General features: G+C 40.3%; 1 long non-coding RNA gene across 1 annotated transcript in view, besides 2 other annotated features; it reads left to right on the top strand.

Moving 5' to 3' along the window:
* LOC101927066 (uncharacterized) overlaps positions 1 to 22,480 on the top strand; it is a 494,634-nt gene that overhangs the window by 115,708 nt on the left and 356,446 nt on the right. The gene's annotated exons all lie outside the window — the stretch shown is intronic.
* Positions 5,675 to 5,969: a silencer, noted in NCBI's record as "tiled region #7239; K562 Repressive non-DNase unmatched - State 22:ReprW". NCBI's record gives its function as "represses a minimal TATA promoter and a strong SV40 promoter by Sharpr-MPRA in K562 cells {active_cell/tissue: K562}" and the evidence as "EXISTENCE:reporter gene assay evidence [ECO:0000049][PMID:27701403]".
* Positions 11,085 to 11,603: an enhancer, noted in NCBI's record as "OCT4-NANOG hESC enhancer chr8:98331415-98331933 (GRCh37/hg19 assembly coordinates)". NCBI's record gives its function as "activates a minimal SCP1, AML or CMV promoter by ChIP-STARR-seq in naive H9 embryonic stem cells {active_cell/tissue: H9 hESC(naive)}" and the evidence as "EXISTENCE:reporter gene assay evidence [ECO:0000049][PMID:30033119]".

Raw genomic sequence — 22,480 nt, 5'->3', positions numbered from 1 at the left:
CATTCCATGCTCATGTATAGATTCAATGCTATCCCCATCAAGCTGTCATTGACTTTCTTCACAGAATTGGAAAAAGCTACTTTAAATTTCATATGGAACCAAAAAAGAGCCTGTATAGCCAAGAGAATCCTAAGCTGGCAGCATCATGCTACCTGACTTCAAACTATACTACAAGGCTACAATAACCAAAACAGCATGTTACTGGTCCCAAAACAGATATATAGACCAATGGAACAGAACAGAGGCCTCAGAAATAACATGACACATCTACAACTGTCTGATCTTTGACAAACCTGACAAAAACAAGCAATGGGGAAAGGATTCCGTGTTTAATAAATAGTGTTGGGAAAACTGGCTAGCCATATGCAGAAAACTGAAACTGGAACTGGACTCCTTCCTTACACCTTATACAAAAATTAACTCAAGATGGATTAAAGATTTAAATGTAAGACCTAAAACCATAAAAACCCTAGAAGAAAACCTAGGCAATACCATTCAGGACATAGACGTGGGCAAGACTTCATAACTAAAATACCAAAAGCAATGGCAACAAAAGCAAAAATTGACAAATGGGATTTACTTAAACTAAAGAGCTTCTGTACAGTAAAATAAACTATCATCAGAGTGAACAGGCAACCTACAGAATGGGAGAAAATTTTTGCAATCTATCCATCTGAGGAAGGGCTAATATCCAGAATCTACAAGGAACTTAAACAAATTTACTAGAAAGAAAACAAGCAACCCCATCAAAAAGTGGGCGAAGGATATGAACAGACACTTCTCAAAAGAAGACATTTATGTGGCCAACAGACACATGAAAAAAGCTCATCATCACTGGTCATTAGAGAAATGAAATCAAAACTACATGAAGATACCATCTCATGCCAGTTAGAATGATGATCATTAAAAAGTCAGGAAAACACAGATGCTGGAGACGATGTAGAGAAATAGGAAGTCTTTTCCACTGTTGGTGGGAGTGTACATTGGTTCAACCATTGTGGAAGACAGCATGGCGATTTCTCAAGGATCTAAAACTAGAAATACCATTTGACCCAGGAATCCCATTACTGGGTATATACCCAAAGGATTATAAAGCATTCTGTTATAAAGACACATGCACATATTCACAGTGTGCACTATTTATTGCAGCACTATTCACAATAGCAAAGACTTGGAAGCAACCCAAATGCCCATCAATGACAGACTGGATAAAGGAAATGTGGCACATATACACCATGGAATACTATGCAGCCATAAAGAGGGAGTTCATGTCCTTTGCAAGGACATGGATGAAGCTGGAAACCACCATTCTCAGCAAACTAACACAGGAACAGAAAACCAAACACCTCCTGTTCTCACTCATAAGTGGGAGTTGAACAATAAGAACATACGGGCACAGGGAGGGGAACATCACACACCAGGGCCTGTCAGGGGATGGGGAGCAAGGGGAGGAATAGCATTAGGAGAAATACCTCATGTAGATGACAGGTTGATGGGTGCAGCAAACCACCATGGCATGTGTATACCTATGTAACAAACCTGCACGTTCTGCACATGTATCCCAGAACTTAAAGTATAATAAAAAATTAAAAAGTCACTAATTAAAAAAAAAAGATGTCACTAAAACAACAATAACAAAAAAAGATCAGGCAAGCAAATCTGAAATAGAATAAAACAGAACTGCATAAAATTATAAGTATTATAATTGAATTAACATATGTATTGTTTTTAACAATTTATTAGTTACCGCTAAGCAGAATTAGTCAACTGGAAGATAAGAGAAGAAATTATTCAGAATGTAGAAACAGAAAAAGAGATGGAAAAGATAAAAGAGAGGTTAAGAGTTATGGCAGATAGAGTTAAAATGGCCAGAAATAAATCCAAATATATCAGTAGTTATAATCCATGAGAATGAACTAAACATTCCAATGAAAAGGCAAATATGACCATATCAAATAGGAAACAAAATGTAGTTTATTCATTTACTGCTTAGGCAAAAGGAACAATGAGCAAATGCTAATTAGGAGATAACTGGTTTCACTTTATTAATATCAAAATAAACCATAAGGGAAAAATATTTCTAGTGGAGGAATATCTTCATTTCGAGATGGTTAAGTTCAATAGAAAGATATAATAATAAAGTTTATACAAACCTTAAAAATGCTGCCTCGAAATAGATAAAGTAAAAATTTACAGAACTTCAATGAAAAATAGGCAAATCCAGCATCACAGTGAGAGGTTTTTTTTTTTTTATCTTTTAAAATTTTTTGTAGGGGTAGGGTTTTGTTATGTATCCCAGGTTGGTCTCAAACTCCTGGCCTTAAGCTATCCTCCACCTCAGCCTCCCAAAGTTCTGGGATTACGGGTGTGAGCCACTGTGCCCAGCTGAGATTTTAATATATCTCCTTAGTAAGAAGACAAGCAGGCTAAGAAAATAACCACTAAGGATAGATAAAATTTGCATAACACAATTAACAAGTTTCATATAATCATAGATCAGTTCCATAAATGAAATACTGCAATCAGTTTCAGGAAACCCACACTTCAGAGGCACACAAGAAACATTTATGAAAATCAACAACATATGAGTCCACAAGGCAAGGCTCAACACATTTAAAAGATTTTAATCACATAGGTCATATTCTCTAATCATAGTATAATTAAGCTAAAAATAAAAAAGAAAAATATGACAAAAATTTTATTTATTTAGACACCTGAAGACATAATTCTAAACATTCCAAGGCCAAAGGAGAAATAACAAGGAGAATTACAGCCTATTTAGAATGAAATAGAATGGAAAATATTACTTATGAAAAGTTTTAGGTTTTCACTGAAGCTATATTTGGGGAAAAATTTATAGTCTAAGGCATAGTCAGACAAGAATCGTGGAAGAAAATTAATGAACTAGGTATTCCTCTTAAGAAGTTAGAAAAAGAATAGCAAAATAAACCCAAAGGAAGTAGAAGGAATTAAATAACAAAGATAGAAGCAGAAAATGAACATGTAATAAAGATCAGCAAAGCCAAAGTGTTTTTAAAAGACTAATAAAATTGACACACTGAAAACTTAATGGCAGAGATAGGAGGTACAAATTAATATTATAAATGTAAAGATATGATTACAGATGCTGCAATTATTAAGATGGAAATAAGGTCTTTTGAATAATGCCAATCAATTTAAAAATTTAGATGAAACTGACAAATTCTAGGAAAATATAACTCAACAAACTGATTCAGGAAAAAATAGAAACTATGAATAATTTTATAATCAATAAAGATACTCAATGAGTACTATGAAGTATTCCCACCAAAAATAATCAGGCCCAGACAATTTTACTGTTAAACGCTATTAAACATTCAATGAACAAATAATCTCAATTTTATAAAATTTCTTGTAGAATATATGAGTCTAGCATACTCTTAATACCAAAACTTGACAAAGACAGTACAAAAAATACAAATGACAGTTCAGTGGCATTTACGAACATAGAGGCAATCATTCTACACAAAATATCAGCAAGCTGGATTGAGCAATGCATGAAAAGAATAATACCCCATGGATAAGTTGGATTTATCCCAAAGACTTTTAAGATTAGTTTAACATTAGAAAGTCAATTAATAAATTAAAGGGGAAAACTACAAAGTCATCTCAGTAGTAATGGAAAAATGTATTGCTAAAATTCACCATATATTCACAATATAAACACTGAGCAACTAGATATAGGAAGAAACTTTATTAACCTCAAAAATCAGGCTAAAGTATCCCAACAGCAAACATGATAAGAAATGGAGAACTATTGACTGGGTGTGGTGGCTCATGCCTGTAATCCCAGCACTTTGGGAGGCCAAGGTAGTGGATTACCTGAGGTTAGGAGTTTGAGACTGGCCTCGCCAACATGGTGAAACCCCATCTCTACAAAAAATTAGCTGGGCGTGATGGCACATGCCTATAATCCCAGCTACTCAGGAGGCGGAGACACAAAAATTGCTTGAACTGGGATGGAGAGGTTGCAGTTAGCTGAGATCGTGCCGCTACACCCCAGCCTGGGTGACAGTGGGAGACTCTGTCTCAAAAAAAATAAAATAAATAAAATAAAATAAAAAAAGGAAAACTATTGAAAATATTTTCTTTAATATCAGAATAAGACTAAAGTGCTTATCATCTCTACTTCTATTTCATGTACTTCTATTTCAGTGATGCTGACCTGTTCAGTAAGGGAAGATTGAAAAGGAAGCATCCTAAGAGTCATTAGTAACAGAATATAAAATTTTCTATATAGGAAATCTAAAAGAATCTACAGACAAATTATTAAGATTAATAAGAAAGTTTAGCAAAATGATTGGATAAACAACCAATAAAAACAAGAATAACAGCAAAACAATACATTTTTATATACCAGCAATCATTTTAATAATGAAGTAAAATATCAAAATAGTGTTCAAAAATAAGAGGTACCTAGTAAAACATTTTAAAAATACAAAAAATTAGGTGGAAAATATAATAAAAGTGTATTGAAAGAATTAAAAGACTTAAAAATGAGCACGGATATGAATACACACACATACACGCTAGCTTGGGTGTGGGTGTCATACTGGCAATGATGGGTGATAGAATCCCTAACCATTGCCACTGCATACATTAAAGGGTTGCTGTTAGGTTCAAGTTCAGGTTCCAGCCCATGCTGAGGTCTGAAGGGAGTGGGGGGACGAATGGCAGATAGCTGAAAGAACACTCGATGGGGGGCCGTAGGTAGCTGAAATACAGCTTCATTCAGCAGCTCTCTTATCAGCAGCTGTCTTACACTGTCTGCTCTGTCTTGGCTGCTTGAGCCAGCCACTCCCATGCACAGCTGTACGGCCAGCTCTCCCTCGCCTTCAGGGTCAGTAGCTTAACTCTGTCTCTCTCTGGGCATGAGCGCACCTGTACAGTGTCAGCAGGGCAATTATATATTTTACAGACAATAGTGGCTTAGAGCCAAATGATAAGCCTTCCCATGTTATGGCTACATGGCTGTGATAACAAGTGGAGTTATATGCCTGCACTCTAAACTCGCTGAGTCACTTTGGATGTTTACCTCGGCCTATCCTTGACGAAAGCACAGCCATGTTCCTTACAATTACAAGTGACTCTGAAGACTGGTAGGAAAGACCACTGGGTTCCTGACTTTCTACTAAGGAGAGACTTGCACAGCAGCGAGATTCAGTGGCTTTTGAGGGGATACCTGAAGAAGTTAAGCACTTAATGTATATTGTGTTTCAGCCTCTGAGCTATTCAAATTCCAAGGCTTTAGAGAATATTAGGCAGCATCCAGGCTTTAGATCTGGCTGCAGTAAAGTGGATCTCTTGAAGCTTGGTCTTGGACAAACAGAAAATGATTTTGCAAGAGACACTTTATGATAAAAGGAGACATCTCAGATTTATGGCTTGCTGGAACAAGGCTGAATTACATGTGGCGAGCTTCAAACCTTGAGGGTTTAGTCTGTATCTTCAATTACTGTCAGACGAGGCTTCATCAGGCTCTAGGTGCTTTGCTTTAAGGCATCCCATGGAAAGAAATCATGCTGCTGGAATGAAAAGGGGGCTTGCATAAGTACCAATTTAGTGAGATGCAACCATTGTCAGGGTAAGCACAAGCCTGGTTAAGGTGGGCATGAAAGTCCTCTTGTGCCCTTGTGTCCTCTTCCTATGTGGAAGTTATCACCATGTTATTATTACCCATTGAAAATCATCAGGAAAAAAGCCAGGAGCCCAAAGCCCATTCAGACTATTCATCTCAGTGTATTTAATCACACAACTGCCAGCCTTTGCGTAATCACAGCCAGTGCAGGCGGTAAATGGCATTTCAGCAATGTTACTGTCAGGTCCTGCCTTTTCCCAGCCTCTGTGGCTCACTTCCTCCCACAGCTGAGATGATTTGACCCCCACCAGCAGGGTCAGCCCCACAATAGTTTCTAGGAAAATAATTGCAAATATGCCTGTGACACTTCCTACTTTCCTACTCGAGGTAGGCATCATTAATGGATCACCATTCTCATTTCTGCTAAGCCCAGATAAATGCAATCTTAGAATTCCCCTCAACTCGGTGCTCCATGCAGCTGTATCCAACTGCCTAGGATTAGCAGGCAGGAGAGAACCTATTTGGCTTTTTTTGCTCTTGGATGAATTAGATGTAGGAAAACCATGAAGAGAGCCAGCCTAGGACTATAGCTCCCACATAAAGTCACCCATGCTGCCCAAAAGGTATGGTATTTACATTCTAATGAAACATATTCTAATGGAAAAGACAGGTTATAAACAAACAAACAAATAAATCGGTAGAAATAAATGCTAAGAAGAAAATTAAATCAGGGCAAGGTATGCACACATGGAAAAACTAATTAAATTCATGGTTTGAATATGTACATTTTACTGTATTCCAATTATATGTCAATAAAATTGAGGGGAAGATAAATTTAGAAGAAAAATGATGGTGGATGCTGCAAGAGAAGAGTAGTGTTTTAGAGAGAATGGCCAAGGAATTCCTTTCTCAAGTATCAGCAATATAAAAGCAGAGCCTCTGTGAAGCGATATCATGGAACAGGAAACTATCTAGGAAAGAGAATCCCAGGTTGCTGAAGAGTGATAGGAAATCATTTGATTAATATTCCTCTAAATTTTCAGATGAGCTTTAGCAAGGTTATGTAATTTGTCTAAGTTATTGTATGAGTTAAGGTAATAGTCGCTACAGTAACAGTAACCCCCTAAATCTCAGTTTCAACACAATAGAAATGCATTTATTGTTCACCTGAAATCCAGAGCAGATGTTTCTGAGTGGCCAGGGCTTTCCTCCAAGCAGTGATTATTCAGAGGCCAAGCCCCATCTATCTTATAGTTTTACCTCTCAACTCCAAGGTCAACCCAATGGTGCAGCAGCATGGAGAATTGAGTGGAGGACCAGTCCCGATTGCTTCCACTCACCATGCATTGGCTAAAATGCAGTCATGTCTAGTTAGTTGCCACAACTAACAACAAGGGATGTGTGTTCACGAAGAAGAGGATTCAGGTGTGAAATCTGCCAGTAGGGAGGCATCACGCTGACTTCAAACTATACTACCAGGCTACAGTAACCAAAACAGCATGGTACTGGTACCAAAACAGAGAAATAGACCCATGGAACAGAATAGAGCCCTCAGAAATAACACCACACATCTACAACCATCTGATCTTTGACAAACCTGACAAAAACAAGAAATGAGGAAAGGATTCCCTATTTAATAAATGGTGCTGGGAAAACTGGCTAGCCATATGTAGAAAGCTGAAACTGGATCCCTTCCTTACACCTTATACAAAAATTAATTCAAGATGGATTAAAGATTTAAACATTAGACCTACAACCGTAAAAAACCCTAGAAGAAAACCTAGGCAATACCATTTAGGACATTGGCATGGGCAAGGACTTCATGACTAAAACACCAAAAGCAATAGCAACAAAAGCCAAAATAGACAAATGGGATCTAATTAAACTAAAGAGCTTCTACACAGCAAAAGAAACTACCATCAGAGTGAACAGGCAACCTACAGAATGGGAGAAAATTTTCACAATCTATCCATCTGACAAAGGGCTAATATCCAGAATCTACAAAGAACTTAAACAAATTTACAAGAAAAAAAACAAACAACCCCATCAAAAAGTGGGCAAAAGATATGAACAGACACTTTTCAAAAGATGACATTTATGCAGCCAACAGACACATGAAAAAATGCTCATCATCACTGGTCATCAGAGAAATGCAAATCAAAACAACGAGACACCGTCTCATACCAGTTAGAATGGCAGTCAGTAAAAAGTCAGGAAACAACAGATGCTGGAGAGGCTGTGGAGAAATAGGAATACTTTTACACTGTTGGTGGGAGTATAAACTAGTTCAACCATTGTGGAAGTCAGTGTGGCGATTCCTCAAGGATCTAGAACTAGAAATACCATTTAACCCAGCCATCCCATTACTAGGTATATAACCAAAGGATTATGAATCATGCTACTATAAAGACACATGCACACATATGTTTACTGCAGCACTATTAACAATAGCAAAAACTTGGAACCAACCCAAATGTCCATCAATGATAGTCTGGATTAAGAAAATGTGGTACATATATACCATGGAATACTATGTAGCCATAAAAAGGGATGAGTTCATGTCCTTTGCAGGGACATGGATGAAGCTAGAAACCATTCTGAGCAACTATCACAAGGACAGAAAACCAAACACCACATGTTCTCACTCATAGGTTGGAATTGAACAATGAAAACACTTGGACACAGGACAGGGAACATCACCCACGGGGGCCTGTCATGAGGTCGGGGGCAGGGAGAGGGATAGCATTAGGAGAAATACCTAATGTAAATGAGGAGTTAATGGGTGCAGCAAACCAACATGGCACATGTATACATATGTAACAAAGCTGCACATTGTGCACATGTACCCTAGAACTTAAAGTATAATTAAAAAAAAAAAAAAGAAATCTACCAGTGGTTTCCTCCATAGTTACACAGTAGCTGGATCAGGATTCACACCTACCTCTGTCTGCCTCTGGAGTCAACTCTATCATTGCCCTCTTCTGTCTTCCTGAGGGAAGCTTCTTTTGCACTCATCTGATGCCTGCCCCCTGCCCCAGCAGCTTAGCCTGGTCTCTGTGTCTGCCGACAGACTTTGCTTGGCCCTGCTGCCTGCCCGTGTGTTTCTGAGTATTGTCTGTTCCTACACTCTCTTTCCCTGTATTTTGGTCATGCATCAGCATGCTGGCTCCCCTGTTGTCTGGGCTTAGTCCCTCACATGCCGAAAGTCTGCCTGCCACAATGAACTTGCGGCCAGAGCTCATCCCTCTGCCCCAGCATCAGCTCCACCTCAATAGGCAGGCTTCTCCCAGTATTGTTTGGCTTTGTGGCAACTAAGGGGAATTTACTCTCTTTGCTAAATGCAGGCACTATATTTGGAAAATCAATGGTTTTAGCACACACAACCAATGTGACCATTGTGGTTAAAGGAAAGGTAGTTTAGGTACTTTTTGTAGGATAAAAGCAGACATCCCTAACTTTTAAATGATTTGAAAATCTTCAGCACCCGTGTATGTAGAGACCCAGGTCTGGAGTGTATGAGTGAATGGAGTCTCAGAATACAAGCATTGCACATATCTAGGATCACACAGGGCCTGGGGTATGGAAGGGATGGTTTAGGGCACCCCATGCCATGACCAGAAAGTAGCTAAGGTACAAGTCCTGCTGATGGCAGGCTGTAGGGATCATCTTTGCGCATAAAAGAGAAAACACAGTTATACATAACACATTTATATAGGGCATAAACATCTCAATGAATTTTTCACTAAATTCACTTGTTTTATCATTTTATGGTATGGTTTTATCCTCATAGCATAGCACATAGTAGTTTCTTAATACACATTTGTAAAATGAAGAATGACTGATGGATGCATGCATGAATGAAAAGGTAGGGTGGAACATAAAGTTCCTCAATCCTTAACATGTATGAGTAAACGTATCAATAAGCAACAAATATAAACGATTGAGGATTTGTGAAGTTAATTTATTATCACAATTTAATAAGCCTTTTAATAGAGTTAATCTGATGCATGCAATGATGTGCCTATGAGAATATAAAATTAATATAGTATATATGTTAAGCAATTCACCTGCATGGCATTTCTGGAGGTGGGGTCAGGGGAAGACCCACTGCACTCCCTGAGGGCTTCTCTATCCTATGAGGCCTGGGGAGCCTGACTTTTCATGCTCAAGCTCTGGTGTCTGGGAAGATAATCACAAGTAATACAAATGATCTCATAAAGATAAATTTATGCTAACAATTTCTTTAGTCCTCCAACTCACATTTGTTTTTACTTTAAAATACCAAACATGATCTGTGGGATCACGCCTGTAATCCCAGCACTTTGGGAAGCTAAGGTGGGAGGATGTCTCAAGGCTAGGAGTTCAAAACCAGCCTGGGCAACATAGCAAGACTTCATCTCTATAAAAAAATTTAAAAATTAGCCAAGCATGAGTGGGCACACCTGTAGGCCCAGCTACTCATGAGACTGAGTTGGGAGGATTGCTTGAGCCCAGGAGGTTGAGGCTGCAGTGAGTTGTGATTACACCACTGCACTCCAATGTAGGTGGCAGAGAGAGACTCTGTCTCCATAAAAACAAAACAAACAAAAAATAAGTACCAAACATAAGCTGAGTGAGCCTATAAATGTCTAAATATTAAGCAGGTTAATATTTATACTGGATTAGATTTAAAAAGGAACTCAAAATCAGCCACCACTACACTTAAACTCCAAATATAGAGAGAGCTAGGAAATAGAAGTAGGGAAGAATTTAACAACAAAACAAAACAAAAGAAAACAAAACACCACCTCTGCCATCTTGCCCTTATATAAGCTAAATGACATCAAAGTGGCAGAGATAAGACTACCAAAGTTAAAGCAAGCATTGTAGTTATTTTTAAGGTGGTGGGATAAATTTGAAGAGCAATATCTCAACCAAATAAGAGATTTCATGGAATAATTGTGTTTGTTTTTTGCAGGGGGTTCGGGGTCTTTTAGAGATACCCCAGAAAGGAATAGATCCAAGAAAGGAAAAGAGAAGAGAGGAAAAGAAAATGAAGACAAGGAAAAGACAAGGAAAGAAAGAGAGAGAAAGGCAGGGGAAAATAAAAACACAAGAAAAAGACAAAGAAGAAGCCTTGGCTCTACCCCTGGCTCACATGTGGATACACACACACACACACACACACACACACACTCTCTCTCTCTCTCTCTCACACACACACACTCTCACACACACACTCTCTCACACTCTCACACACACATATACACTCTCTCTCTCACACACACACACACCCTCCACACACTTTCCTGTGTCTGAGGCACTAGATCAATTCCTGCCCTTATTCTCCCTCCCTGAAATTTTCCTTTTCCCTGGATAATCCCTGGGATGATTTTAGCTTTATTACAGTGTGAATACTCCAGAAAAAGAGGCCAAAGTGACAAAAACAAAGCTCTCCTCTGTGGCAATGCTCAGGTGACCCTGTGCGTTTCATCTCCTCAAGGTGTTCTGTTATAGTGGTCATCACTCGACCTGAGGCTGTGGGAATATTAGTAAGGCCTGTTTTCCCCACATGACAGATGAAGAAACAGGCCCAGTGAGGCCATCTGTCTTGCCCTCCATGCCTCCATGGATGGGAATTTAGTCTGAGCATTCTTTGCCTCCATCTTCTCCTCCTTATCACGCTGCTTCTTGCCTTAGGTCAGGCTCCGATGGCCTCTTCCATGGACTACTGCCATGCCTTGAGCCAATGGACCGAGTAGCCAATAGCTGGCTGATTATGAACTGTGGGTATTTTCCTCTGCTGCGTGCCCCAGTTCCCACACCTTTCAAGTGTATCTGAAAGGGTGGTTGAAGAGGTTAAAGAAGATAGCCTGTGTGAACCTGCCTAGCCAAACGAGGGTGTCAGAGAGAGAGACCATTTTGCTCTCCTTTTCCTTCTCATCCACCTTTCACGCTGATGCCCCAGCAATCTTTCTGAAATGCAAACCCAGTCAAGTTATTTTCCTTTTGGTACCCATCCCCCTTATTAGATAAAGACCAGACTTCTAACCATGGTTGGCTCTACCCCTGGCTCACATGTGGATACACACACACACACACTCTCTCTCTCTCTGTCTCACACACACACACTCTCTCTCTCTCACACACACACACACACACACACCCTCCACACACTTTCCTGTGTCTTCATCACCTGAGTCCCCCTATTTTTCTGGCCTAATCTGCCATGTCAAAGGACACTTTCCTTCCAGTCGCACAAAATAACACAAAATTTCCTCAAATGAACAATTTTCCATTAATCCAAGCCTTTTCATGCATTATTACTCCCACTTGGAATTTTCTGCCTTCCATTGTCTATTTGGTGAGCATCTAGTCATTCTTAAAGACTCTGTTCAAACAGGCCACGTTTTGTAGAGCCCCTCAAACCCTCATGCTCTCAGGCTCTGTCCTTAGTGGGCCTATCTCACTGTGTGCACATGCCTCCAGTTTAGCAACCACCACTCTGCATTGCACTGCTAGTTTCCTTATCTCTCTCCCAGACTGGGAGCTCTCTAAGAGTGGCTGCCTGATCATACTCTTCTCAGTATCCCCAGCACACACTTAGTGCTAACTGATGTTTGTTGAATGACAAATTTGAGCTGCTTAGGATCATACAGATAACCAATACATAGTGAAGACAGCATTGTTTCCTTTCTGTTATGAGATGAATTGTGTCACTCAAAAAAGATATGTTGATGTCCTAACTCCAGTATCTCAGAATGTCACCTTATTTGAAAATAGAGTTTTTGTAGATGTAATTAGTTAAGATGAGGTCATATTGGATTAGAGTGGGCCCCCAATCCAGTATTACTAGTGTCCTTATGGGAAGAGGAGAAGGGACACAGACTCACTCAGACAGGACCATGTAATGATGGAGGCAAAGATTGGAGACAAGGAATTGCATCTACAAGACAAGGAATGCCAGGGATTGTTAGGAACCACCAGAAGGTGGAAGAGGCAAGGAAGCATTCTTCCCTAGAGCCTTCGGAGAGAACATGGCTCTGCCAACACCTTGATTTCAGACTTCTAGCCTCCAGAGCTAAGAGCCAACCAGTTGCCATTGCCTTAAGCCAGTTAGTTCATGGTACTTTGTAATGGCAGCCCTACAAAAGGAATACATGTTCCAGCAGTCCATATGCTCAATCCTTGTCCTTCACATTTAAATATGATACTGCTGATTGTTTTCCTGTCTTTGCGCAGCAGTCATAGAAAGGCCATTACATAGGAAAAGAATGACCACAAACCTCATGAAGCAAAAGCTTCAGGGCCCCTCACTGAGGAAGCCCATTCCAAGGACATGGGTGGGTTTCCAGCTTTATGTCCACATGATGATACATTTTTGTAAAATTTGCAAAGTGGTATTTTAACCATGATCAATTAAGAGCACTGTCTTTCTCTTGGGTCAGGTGACTAACATGACTATGAACTTTCTGGGATCCTGCCAAGGTAATGTAAAGCTGGAGAGACATTTAATTTAACTTAGTGGGATATATTTACATAGTTTGCAGTTACTTGCATGTATTGTTCCATTACTGCTGGCTCTCCGGTGCAGATGACTTTCTGAAATCCTTCTCTCACTCACTGTGCTCACTCACTGGGTGAAGTGACACAACAGTGCAAGGCTGGAGACCACACCACAGTATGACCATAGTGTGCTTGTGTCCTTCAGTGCCTAGTCCCAAAATAGCGGGGGAGAAACAAGGTTTGAAGTGTATTCGCACTAACCTGTGAAAATTTCTTTTATTACCAGATGTGTAAAATTATAATTAGGAAACTAGATGCGCATCAACTCTTAGTCGAAATGAAGTTCTCTTCTGTTAGAAATATACTTTAGGCCAGGTACTGTGACTCACATCTATAATCCCAGCACTTTGAGAGGCTGAGGTGGGAGGATTGCTTGAGGCCAGGGGTTTTAGACCAGCCTGGGCAACATAGCAAGACCCCATTTCTACAAAAAAATATATATTTTTTAATTAGCCAACCAAGGGTGGTACATGCATGTAGTCCCAGCTACTTGGGAGGCCGAGGTGGGAGGATTGCTTGAGCCCAGAAGGTTGAGGCTGCAGTGAGCTATGATTGTGCCACTGCACTCTAGTCTGGGAGACAGAGCAAGACTCTGTTTCCTCAAAAAAAAAAAAAAATAAATAAATAAACTTTAGTAATGTAGTGTGTGCGCTGATCATACATCTTACAGTTTTTCCTATTATAATGGGAGTCTCATAAGATAGAATTTATCTGAATTCTTGTATTTGTAGGATACCAACCTGTGACAGTACTTTAAGCAGTGACTCCATTCAAAATGTAAAGTTGCATATTTTTGCATGCATATCACATTATAGTTTTGTGAATCTAATGTATCTTGTCCTGATGAAATCTGGTGGTTCGAGATGAAACAGCATGCAAGAAACAGCCTGAAAAAACAAATGTTCTACTGAACAAAACTCCTACACGTACTCATCTTTGAATCATTGTGTATCGTAAGAGTAATTTGTTGTACAAATTATGTAGCACATTATAATATAGTGGACTTTTAAAGTACATTTTCTCTAGTGAATGTGTGTCATGAATTCTAAAAACTCTTAAAATTAGCCAAGAAATGCCCTGAAATCCTACAGCTGATTAAAAAAGCAACCAGATACAAGTTTCCCCAAATTTGATAACCACCCAAAAAATTTATGTAAGATAATCAATAACAAATTGTGAAGTAGAAAGTAACTTTTCTGTGCGATTAATAATACAAAACAACCTTTTTTTTTTTGCTAGAAGACTGAACTGTTTTCTCTCCAGAAAAGATTATACAGTTTTTCTGATATGAAGAGTGAAAATCATAGTATGAAGCCAAGAACTGAAAGAAGGAAGCATTGTAGAAGCATATCAGCAGTTATTCAATAGAAATATTAGGTTTCTGGATTTTGTGATACTTAATAGTCAACTTTGTTATATTTCTAATTTGTTATGCTTTCTTCTCACAGTCTAAATAAATATTCACTTTTCTACCTACTTTTATTTTATTTATTTATTTACTTTATTTTGAGACAGGGTCTCACTCTGCCACCCAGGCTAGACTGCAGTGGCATGATCTCTGCTCACTGCAACTTCTGTCTCCCAGGTTCAAGCAATTCTCCCACCTCAGCCTCCCACCTCAGCAGGTGCGTGCCACCATGCCTGGCTAAGTTTTGTATTTGTAGTAGAGACGGGTTTCACCATGTTGGCCAGGCCGGTCTTGAACTCCTGACCTGAAGTGATCCACCCGCCTCAGCCTCCCAGAGTGCTGGGATTACAGGCATGAGCCACTGCGCTCAGTCTGCATCCTTTTTCTTAAAGAAGGCCCTCCCCCTGAATTATAGGTCCCACATAACCGGGATCTGACCATGCTCATACATAATGAAGATTGACATGATTTATTCATCAAGTTGTATTGAAAGCCAGCCGCAGGCAGGGCAATGTGGTAGGGACTTTATGGTATAAAGTGGGAAGAGCCCTGGGTAGGAGTCAGGGGCCCAGGGGTCCAGTCTTAACTTCCCCAGAGAGGGCCACATGAGATTGGCCATGTCCCTTTCCCTCGTTAAAACTTGGTTTTTTCTTCAGTTAGAAGAGGAATTTGGATTAACTATGTTCTAAAGCTCATCTTCACTCAGCAATTTTATGAACGTGCATTTCAGAGTCAGCTCAAGCCTTATTATTTACAAATAATATCATCATCTAGCTGTTTCTGTCCTCTAGGAGTTTATGACTGGGTGAGCCAAGATTGGCCTTTGGTTCGTAGTGGTGGGCAATGCTTGCTGGCAGTTCTGTTCCCTTGTTTCATGGATTGGTTTACATCTTGGGGGAGCTGCATCAAGAGGTATTCCTGTCTGGCTGTCTGGGGCACGATTCTATGACTTTGTTTTCACAGACCTTAATTTCTAATAGAACATTCTATTTGATGTTTCTTCTGTGCTGAGGGGATTCTCGAGGAACCTGACTATGATTTCTGCCATGGGACAGTCCTCATTGTCACACGGGATATTGCCATGACAGTATTCTGTAGTGCTTTGGTTTGCTAAGGAGCCATCTTCTGTATAAATGTCAAAAACAAATTTTCATCAACCAGCTAATGTTTATCTTATAATAGAAAATTAGCAGAGGGTGCTTCAGTTGACACTTCTATTTTTATTTTCATGACTAAGTTAATCATCGACTGTTTTATTTATTATTCGTTTATTGATTCAATTTACATTCGTCTTTTCCAACAAAGATTTGCATTGGATTTCTGAATTCAATAGGGAATTCTGGTCACATCAAAATGGCAGTCTTTGAAACTGGCAAGATCATAAATTGTCTTTGGGTTTGATTTTGGTGTCCAAAGATAACTTAAGAAGGTGGCAACAGCCCTTAATAAGGTCAGTTATATAAGCAGATAATTAGTTTGAGGAAAGAATGCCAACATTGATAAAAGCTGCTGGTTTGGTTATTTTAAAAGGTGTTTTAGCTGAGGCACATACCTTTTAAATGAGAACTCTTGTCTGCTTATGCCTGTTTTTGCAGATTACACACAAGTCAGTCAAATGATCCATTCATTAATTCCCTCAATAAATATTTGTTAAGGCACTGACTGGATGAGAAGCTTGTGACCACTTTGCAGAGCTTATGCAGTTCTACAAACTGAGAGTTAGTATGAGGAAGATGGAAGTTACAGGTCAACTTGACCTAGGAAAAGAAACCCTGCCTTTGAAGTTCTACCCTAAAGATGGGAGGATGGTAGATGATGTTGATCCAGGCTGGCTTGGCAGAGCACTGATGGACCAAGAGAAAAAAAAGATGTCTCAATAACCCCAGGATGGCCGCTTGAAGGACCAGAAAACATTGACTCTATTTAAAAAAGAACATGGTCCTTTGGTTGCTGCTGCAGTGGGTAACAAATCACAGGGCTGAGTCATAAAAACAGTAAGACAATAGAAATTGCATGGAGCAAATAGCACAAATCGGCCATATATCAATTGGGTCAAATTACTAGCATTAATGCACTACAATTCTAGACTATGTGGAAAGTGTCCTGGACAATTTACTAATTAATTAGTTCAATGATACAATCATTCAATCAATGCTTTTTATGGATTTATTTTTATTGAGCACCTGCTATGCACTAGGCCTTAGGCCTTAGCTAGGTCTCAAGTCTTAGGTCCTCCAAGGAATTGTGATGTATAAAACAGTCCCCAACTTTGAGGAGGTTAGTGTAAGGAAATAGGTAAGTAAATCAACAACTAAACTGTACTTTGGAAAGACAATAACAGAGTACTTGAAAAGCATCTAACTCACTCTGGTAAGAGAGCCATGAGCAAGGGACTCTGGGTGAAGAAGCCATGGCCAAAACTGTTGGTAGCCTCCCCCAGTCACTGTCTCTGCCTCTGTCTTTGCCAAGAGAACACTAATTTTATTCTATATGAGGCAGAGTGTACTCAAAGAAGATACCTTTCTTCCCGCAGTCACAGATAAGCCACAACAACTCTTCTCCCTTTGTCAGTCGTCTGAATACAGTAAACGGGAGACCCAGATCTTAAGGGAACCAGATGCAAAGTCTGCTGGGAAAGTTTTTCTCTCTGATAAAAAGGAGAGGTGTCTAAGGGGAATTCCTCACTTCTTTTCTTGTTTTGACTATGGCTTTGTGTGGATCTGATGTTTAGAGTTAAGGCATGTATTTTGAGTCCGTACCGGGAAAGCCAAGACAAAAAAAAGGCAGCCCAGAGTTCAGACATCCTCCAGCTGCTAAATTAACCAGCTGTGAAACTGCTGCTGCAGACATCTTACTGGGGAGATAAACCTCTTTATTATACTATTAAATATCTAGTTGGATATTTTGTTAGTTGAGCTGAAAACATCCAAACTGATACAGAAGTCTCCCTGAAGGAAGTTCTGAGCTGAGGCTTGAAGAGTACGTAAGACTTAGCCAGACAAAGATATGGATAAGGGACCTTCCTGGAAGACAGGTATAAAGGCACTGAGCCTAGAGAGAGGAGCACCTTTGGGAACCACAAGTACTTCATTGTGGTTATAGCAAGAGGTGGGGTTTGAGAGAAATGCAGGACCTTGTGTGCTTAGAAGAAGCTTAGAGTTTATCCTAAAATAATCTGGAGTCATCAAAGGCTTCTCCTGGATTTGCACTTTTTAGAGATGACTCTGGTGGCCATAGAGAGGACAGATCAGGGGGTCTGGGATGAAAACAGAGAGCATAGGTAGGAGAATCCCAATATGAAAAGACAAGGGTGGTGGTGAAGGGGATGCAGAGGACGCAGGTTTGGGAGATGTTCAGGAGGCAGAATGCACAGTACTTGAAGTCCTATTGAATATCACAGGGAAGACATAGGGAGGTGGAAGAGCCAACTCTAGAATTTCTGGTTGGGTATCTAGGGGGACAGAAGTTCTCTCACTGAGACAGAAAATTAACAAGGAAGGGCAGGTTGAGGTGGTTTGAAGTGGGAGACACTGCTGGTAAGCATATGATGGGTCGGGAGACAAGGGGATGATAAACTCAACTTGAACATATTGTTTAGGAATCCTGAGGGACAAATTGAGGGTTTCCAGGAAGAGTTAGATAAGTAGGATTGAAACCAAGTGCTGCAAAGGGGCCTCATCAGGAGAGACGAAGGGTCCAGGGATGCTGTTGAACTCTTGCGATTGGGTACATACTAGAGACTGAGATGAGAAGCCTGCCTCTGGAAATACACAAACTTTAGAGGCAAAAGGGAGGAGAAAGTAAAAAGGAGAAGGTGTTTCAGAGGAGGTTCTTCTTGAGTAGGGAGAAGAGAGGACATATAGGTTGGCAGGCATGGATGAGCAAGGAAAGAGATAAGCATGGTGCTGGTGTGAGGGGAGGGAGGCATATAGGCACAAAGAAAATCATGAACCTTGTAAACTGTGGGTGCATTCAGGGCCGGAATGTCTGTACAGCATGGTAAATAAGTCAGTGATTGATTATAACCAGAACCTGGCACTCAGACTTAACTATGGCAGCTGAAGGTAGACAGAGTAGAGTGTTTTTTTTCTCCTGCCTGGAGGGATCTCAGTCCCAGGGCACAGGGACTGAGGTCCCAATAAATAAGATCTCCACAGTTAAGCTTGGGCTCTATTTTCTCCATTCTTTGCAATTAATTACTGTGGTCATTACAATCTCATCTTTCTCCACTCTAAATCCTGCATTTGGTGTCTGATACTGATCTATGTGATTACACTCTTCTCTTAATATTGACCTGGTTTTATGGCATGAGATACACTTCCAAATGATAAAGCTTGTTTTCTTTGAGATAAAAAGGGTTGGAAAAGAAATTGACTACAGTGTCTGCAGAAGGAGAAAGGAAATAAACATGTTGGGATAAACATGGACATTTTAAGCCTCAAACTGTGATCTATTAGGAACATTTATATCTAAAAGGCAGCCCTGTAGACAGCCATGAGCAGAAAATGTTTGGGTTGCAAATACTAAATACTTCAGGGAAAACATCCCTCTTTTAAAATAATCCAATTCAAAAGAAAGAGAACTGAAACTGGATCCCATCTTTAATTTGTGCTAAAAACCATGAGGTCAAAGTATACAATTTATGAACAAAATTATCCTTGGCTTCTTGAACTGGCGCCATTACCTTCCTCAATGAAAAGAGAAAAGAGACAAAATAACCATTCTCTCAGAACTTATTTCCTCTCTGAGTGGGGCTCTTGTTTAATTGGTTTTGCTTTGAGCAGAAATGGGAAGAAAATGTTGTAGGGTGAACCCATCAAGGCACAGCTCCCAGACACCTGGCTCTTCAAATGGATGAGACAGAATAGAAGATATTTTGACATTTTGTTTTATTTCTCTAACTTGGCTCAAGTCATTTACTTTTCTTCTCTGTCTGCACCAGAGAAAGAGATACCTCGTAATTCTTGTCAGGGACAAAAACCCTCGAAAAACCAAAAGCCTGCAACTGCTTGACAATGCAGTGGGCTGGAAGCATGTAGACACACGTGGTATGAATTGAAGGGCTCCATGAAACTTTCTTTATAACCCATAATACAAATAGTTTTCCTAATTCCTCCATGGTGCCTAGAATTCCTGTTTGATTCATTCCTTTATGGGAGGATATGTCAGTGTTTCGGATTACTCTAATTAAATGAGGACACCCTGCCAGCTTATTAGCTTCTGGATGGCAGGGGCTGTCCTATCTTCCTTGGTATGCCTCGTTGACAGCAAGTACAATCCATAAACATGGTAGGTGTTCAAAAGTACAAGTGGAGAGACAAAAGTAAGCATAGTCAACCATTATGATCATGGTGTGATGGTTCATTTATTAAATAATTCTCCAACTAAGAACACCAAAATCTTATGCTCATACAGAAGAAGGAAAGTTAGGTTGGTTTGGGTGCCTCAGCAGACCAGGAGTAGGGGAGGATGGAGTGAGATGGCTGGGGCCTGGGGCACCAGACTTATAATAGAAATATAATGTGAACCGTCTGGGCGTGGAGGCTCACGCTTGTAATCCCAGCACTTGGAGGCTGAGGTGAGTGGATCACTTGAGGTCAGGAGTTCGAGACCAGCCTGGCCAACATGGCGAAACCCTGTCTCTAATAAAAATATAAAAATTAGCTCAGCATGGTGGCACACGCCTGTAATCCCAGCTACTTAGGAGAGTGAGGCATGAGCATCGCTTGAACCCAGGAAGCGGAGGTTGCAGTGAGCTGAGATAGTGCCACTGCACTCCAGCTTGGGCAACAGAGTAAAACTGTGTCCAAAAAATAAAAAAAAAAAAAAAAAAAGGAAAGGAAGGAAGGAAGGAAGGAAATGTGAACCACATAGGTAATTTTAAATCTTTTAATTTAGAAAAGGTATTATGTTGGTGCAAAAGTTATTACTGCCTTTGGCATTACTTTCAATGGCAAAAACTGCAATTATTTTTGCACCAACTTAATAAAAGAGAAAAAAATGGCAAAAGAAATAAATAAAATTAATTTTAGTATGTTATGTTTAACCCCCCAAATTATCATTTGAACATCTAATTACTACAAAAACTACTGAGATATTTTATTTCTTTTCATACCAAGTCCTCAAAATCCAGCATGTATTTTAATCTTACAGCACATTTGAATTTTGAAGAGCTGCATTTCAAGAGCTTAATAGCCATGTGTGGCTATCACAGTGGACAGCATGGCTCTAGAAGGCTCATTGTCAGAGAGGGAACAAGAGGGAGGGAGTGGGGCATGGCAGTTGGGGAGATGGGAGTCAGGAGCAGGAGAAGGAGATGCTGGAGGACAGCTGGGGTGAGAAAGGCATCAAGGATGTGATTTGTAAGTTTACTGGGACATCTTTGGTCTGATGGCCGGAACCATTCTCAGGCATGTTTGGCTCAGGCTGGACCAGGAGGATTCTCAGGGCCTGAGTGTACAGTTCCTTTGAGTGGAAGATGTGTGTTTCCTTTGGTGCCTTTGAAGTGAATTAATTCAACACAAAGTCTCTTAGTTTAATAAGTCCCAATAATTAATAGGATACCCAAAATTATCAATTATTTTCTTCTGGAACAAATTACCACCTCCTAGAGGACCATAAGCAAATTATCATCTTCTAGAGCAGCAGTCCCCAACCTTTTTTGGCACCAGGGACTGGTTTCATGGAAGACAATTTTTCCATGGATAGTGGTGGTGGGGGATGGTTTTGAGGTGAAACTGTTCACCTTAGGTCAGGCATTAGATTATCATAAGGAGTGTGCAACTTAGATCCCTCACATGCACAGTTCACAATAGAGTTTACACTTCTGTGACAATCTAATGCCACCACTGATCTGACAGGAGGCGGAGTTCAGTCAGTAATGCTCGCCCAACCTTCATGCCACTCACTTTCTGCTGTGCAACCAGGTTACTCACGGGCCATGGACCAGTACCGTGGGGGTTGGGGACCCATGTTCTAGAGCAGGTATATCTGGCCAAACTATATCCCCATAAGTCTAGATTTAATGCCATGGAGACTGTAGCAGAGGCAATGAGAAAGAGGAATTTTCAGTTTCATCTTTATCAAAATGCCAACCATTCTATCTAAGATACTTGTCCATAGCCTATAACCTTTTAATTTAAACTCAGCTGGGAGACATCTTCCATAAAGAGGTGACATCGCACTGGTTAACCATATTGGAGGCGAGTGTAGAAGCCACACCTGAAAACCATTTTCTTCGTTAGGGACTGAATGTTGATGTGTTCCTGCTTTCTTGCCAAATTTAGAAATTCACAGCCGGGTGTGGTGGCTCACGCCTGTAATCCCAGCACTTTGGGAGACCGAGGTGGGCAGATCACCTGAGGTTGGGAGTTAGAGACCAGCCTGACCAACATGGAAAAACCCTGTCTCTATTAAAAATACAAAAATTAGCTGGGCATGGTGGCACATGTCTGTAATCCCAGCTACCCGAGAGGCTGAGGCAGGAGAATTGCTTGAACCCAGGAGGAAGATGTTTCGGTGAGCCAAGATCACGCCACTGCACTCCAGCCTGGTCAATAAGAGCGAAACTCCATCTCAAAGGAAAAAAAAAAAGAAAGAAAGAAATTCACAGCAGTGGCAGCCCTAGTCACCAAGCCTAATTCAGGGTCTTATTTCTCTCCTGTAAAGCAAACTAAAGCTTTAAAATGTTATGTTATTTTATTTTTTTAGGCAGGGTTTTGCTCTGTAGCCCAGGCTGGAGTGCAGTGGTGCAATCACAGCTCATTATAGCCTTGACCTCCCAGGCTCAAGCGATCCTGTCACCTCAGCCTCCCAGTTAGCTGGGACTACAGGCATGCACCACCACACCCAGCTAATTTTTTTTTTGCCTCATAGAGACAGGGTCTCTCTATGTTGCCCATGCTGGTCTC

This window comes from Homo sapiens, chromosome 8 (genome assembly GCF_000001405.40).
Source record: "Homo sapiens chromosome 8, GRCh38.p14 Primary Assembly".
Taxonomy (NCBI): Eukaryota; Metazoa; Chordata; class Mammalia; order Primates; family Hominidae; genus Homo; species Homo sapiens.
Note: the sequence above shows the minus strand (reverse complement) of the source record. Positions and strands in the feature narration are given on the sequence as shown.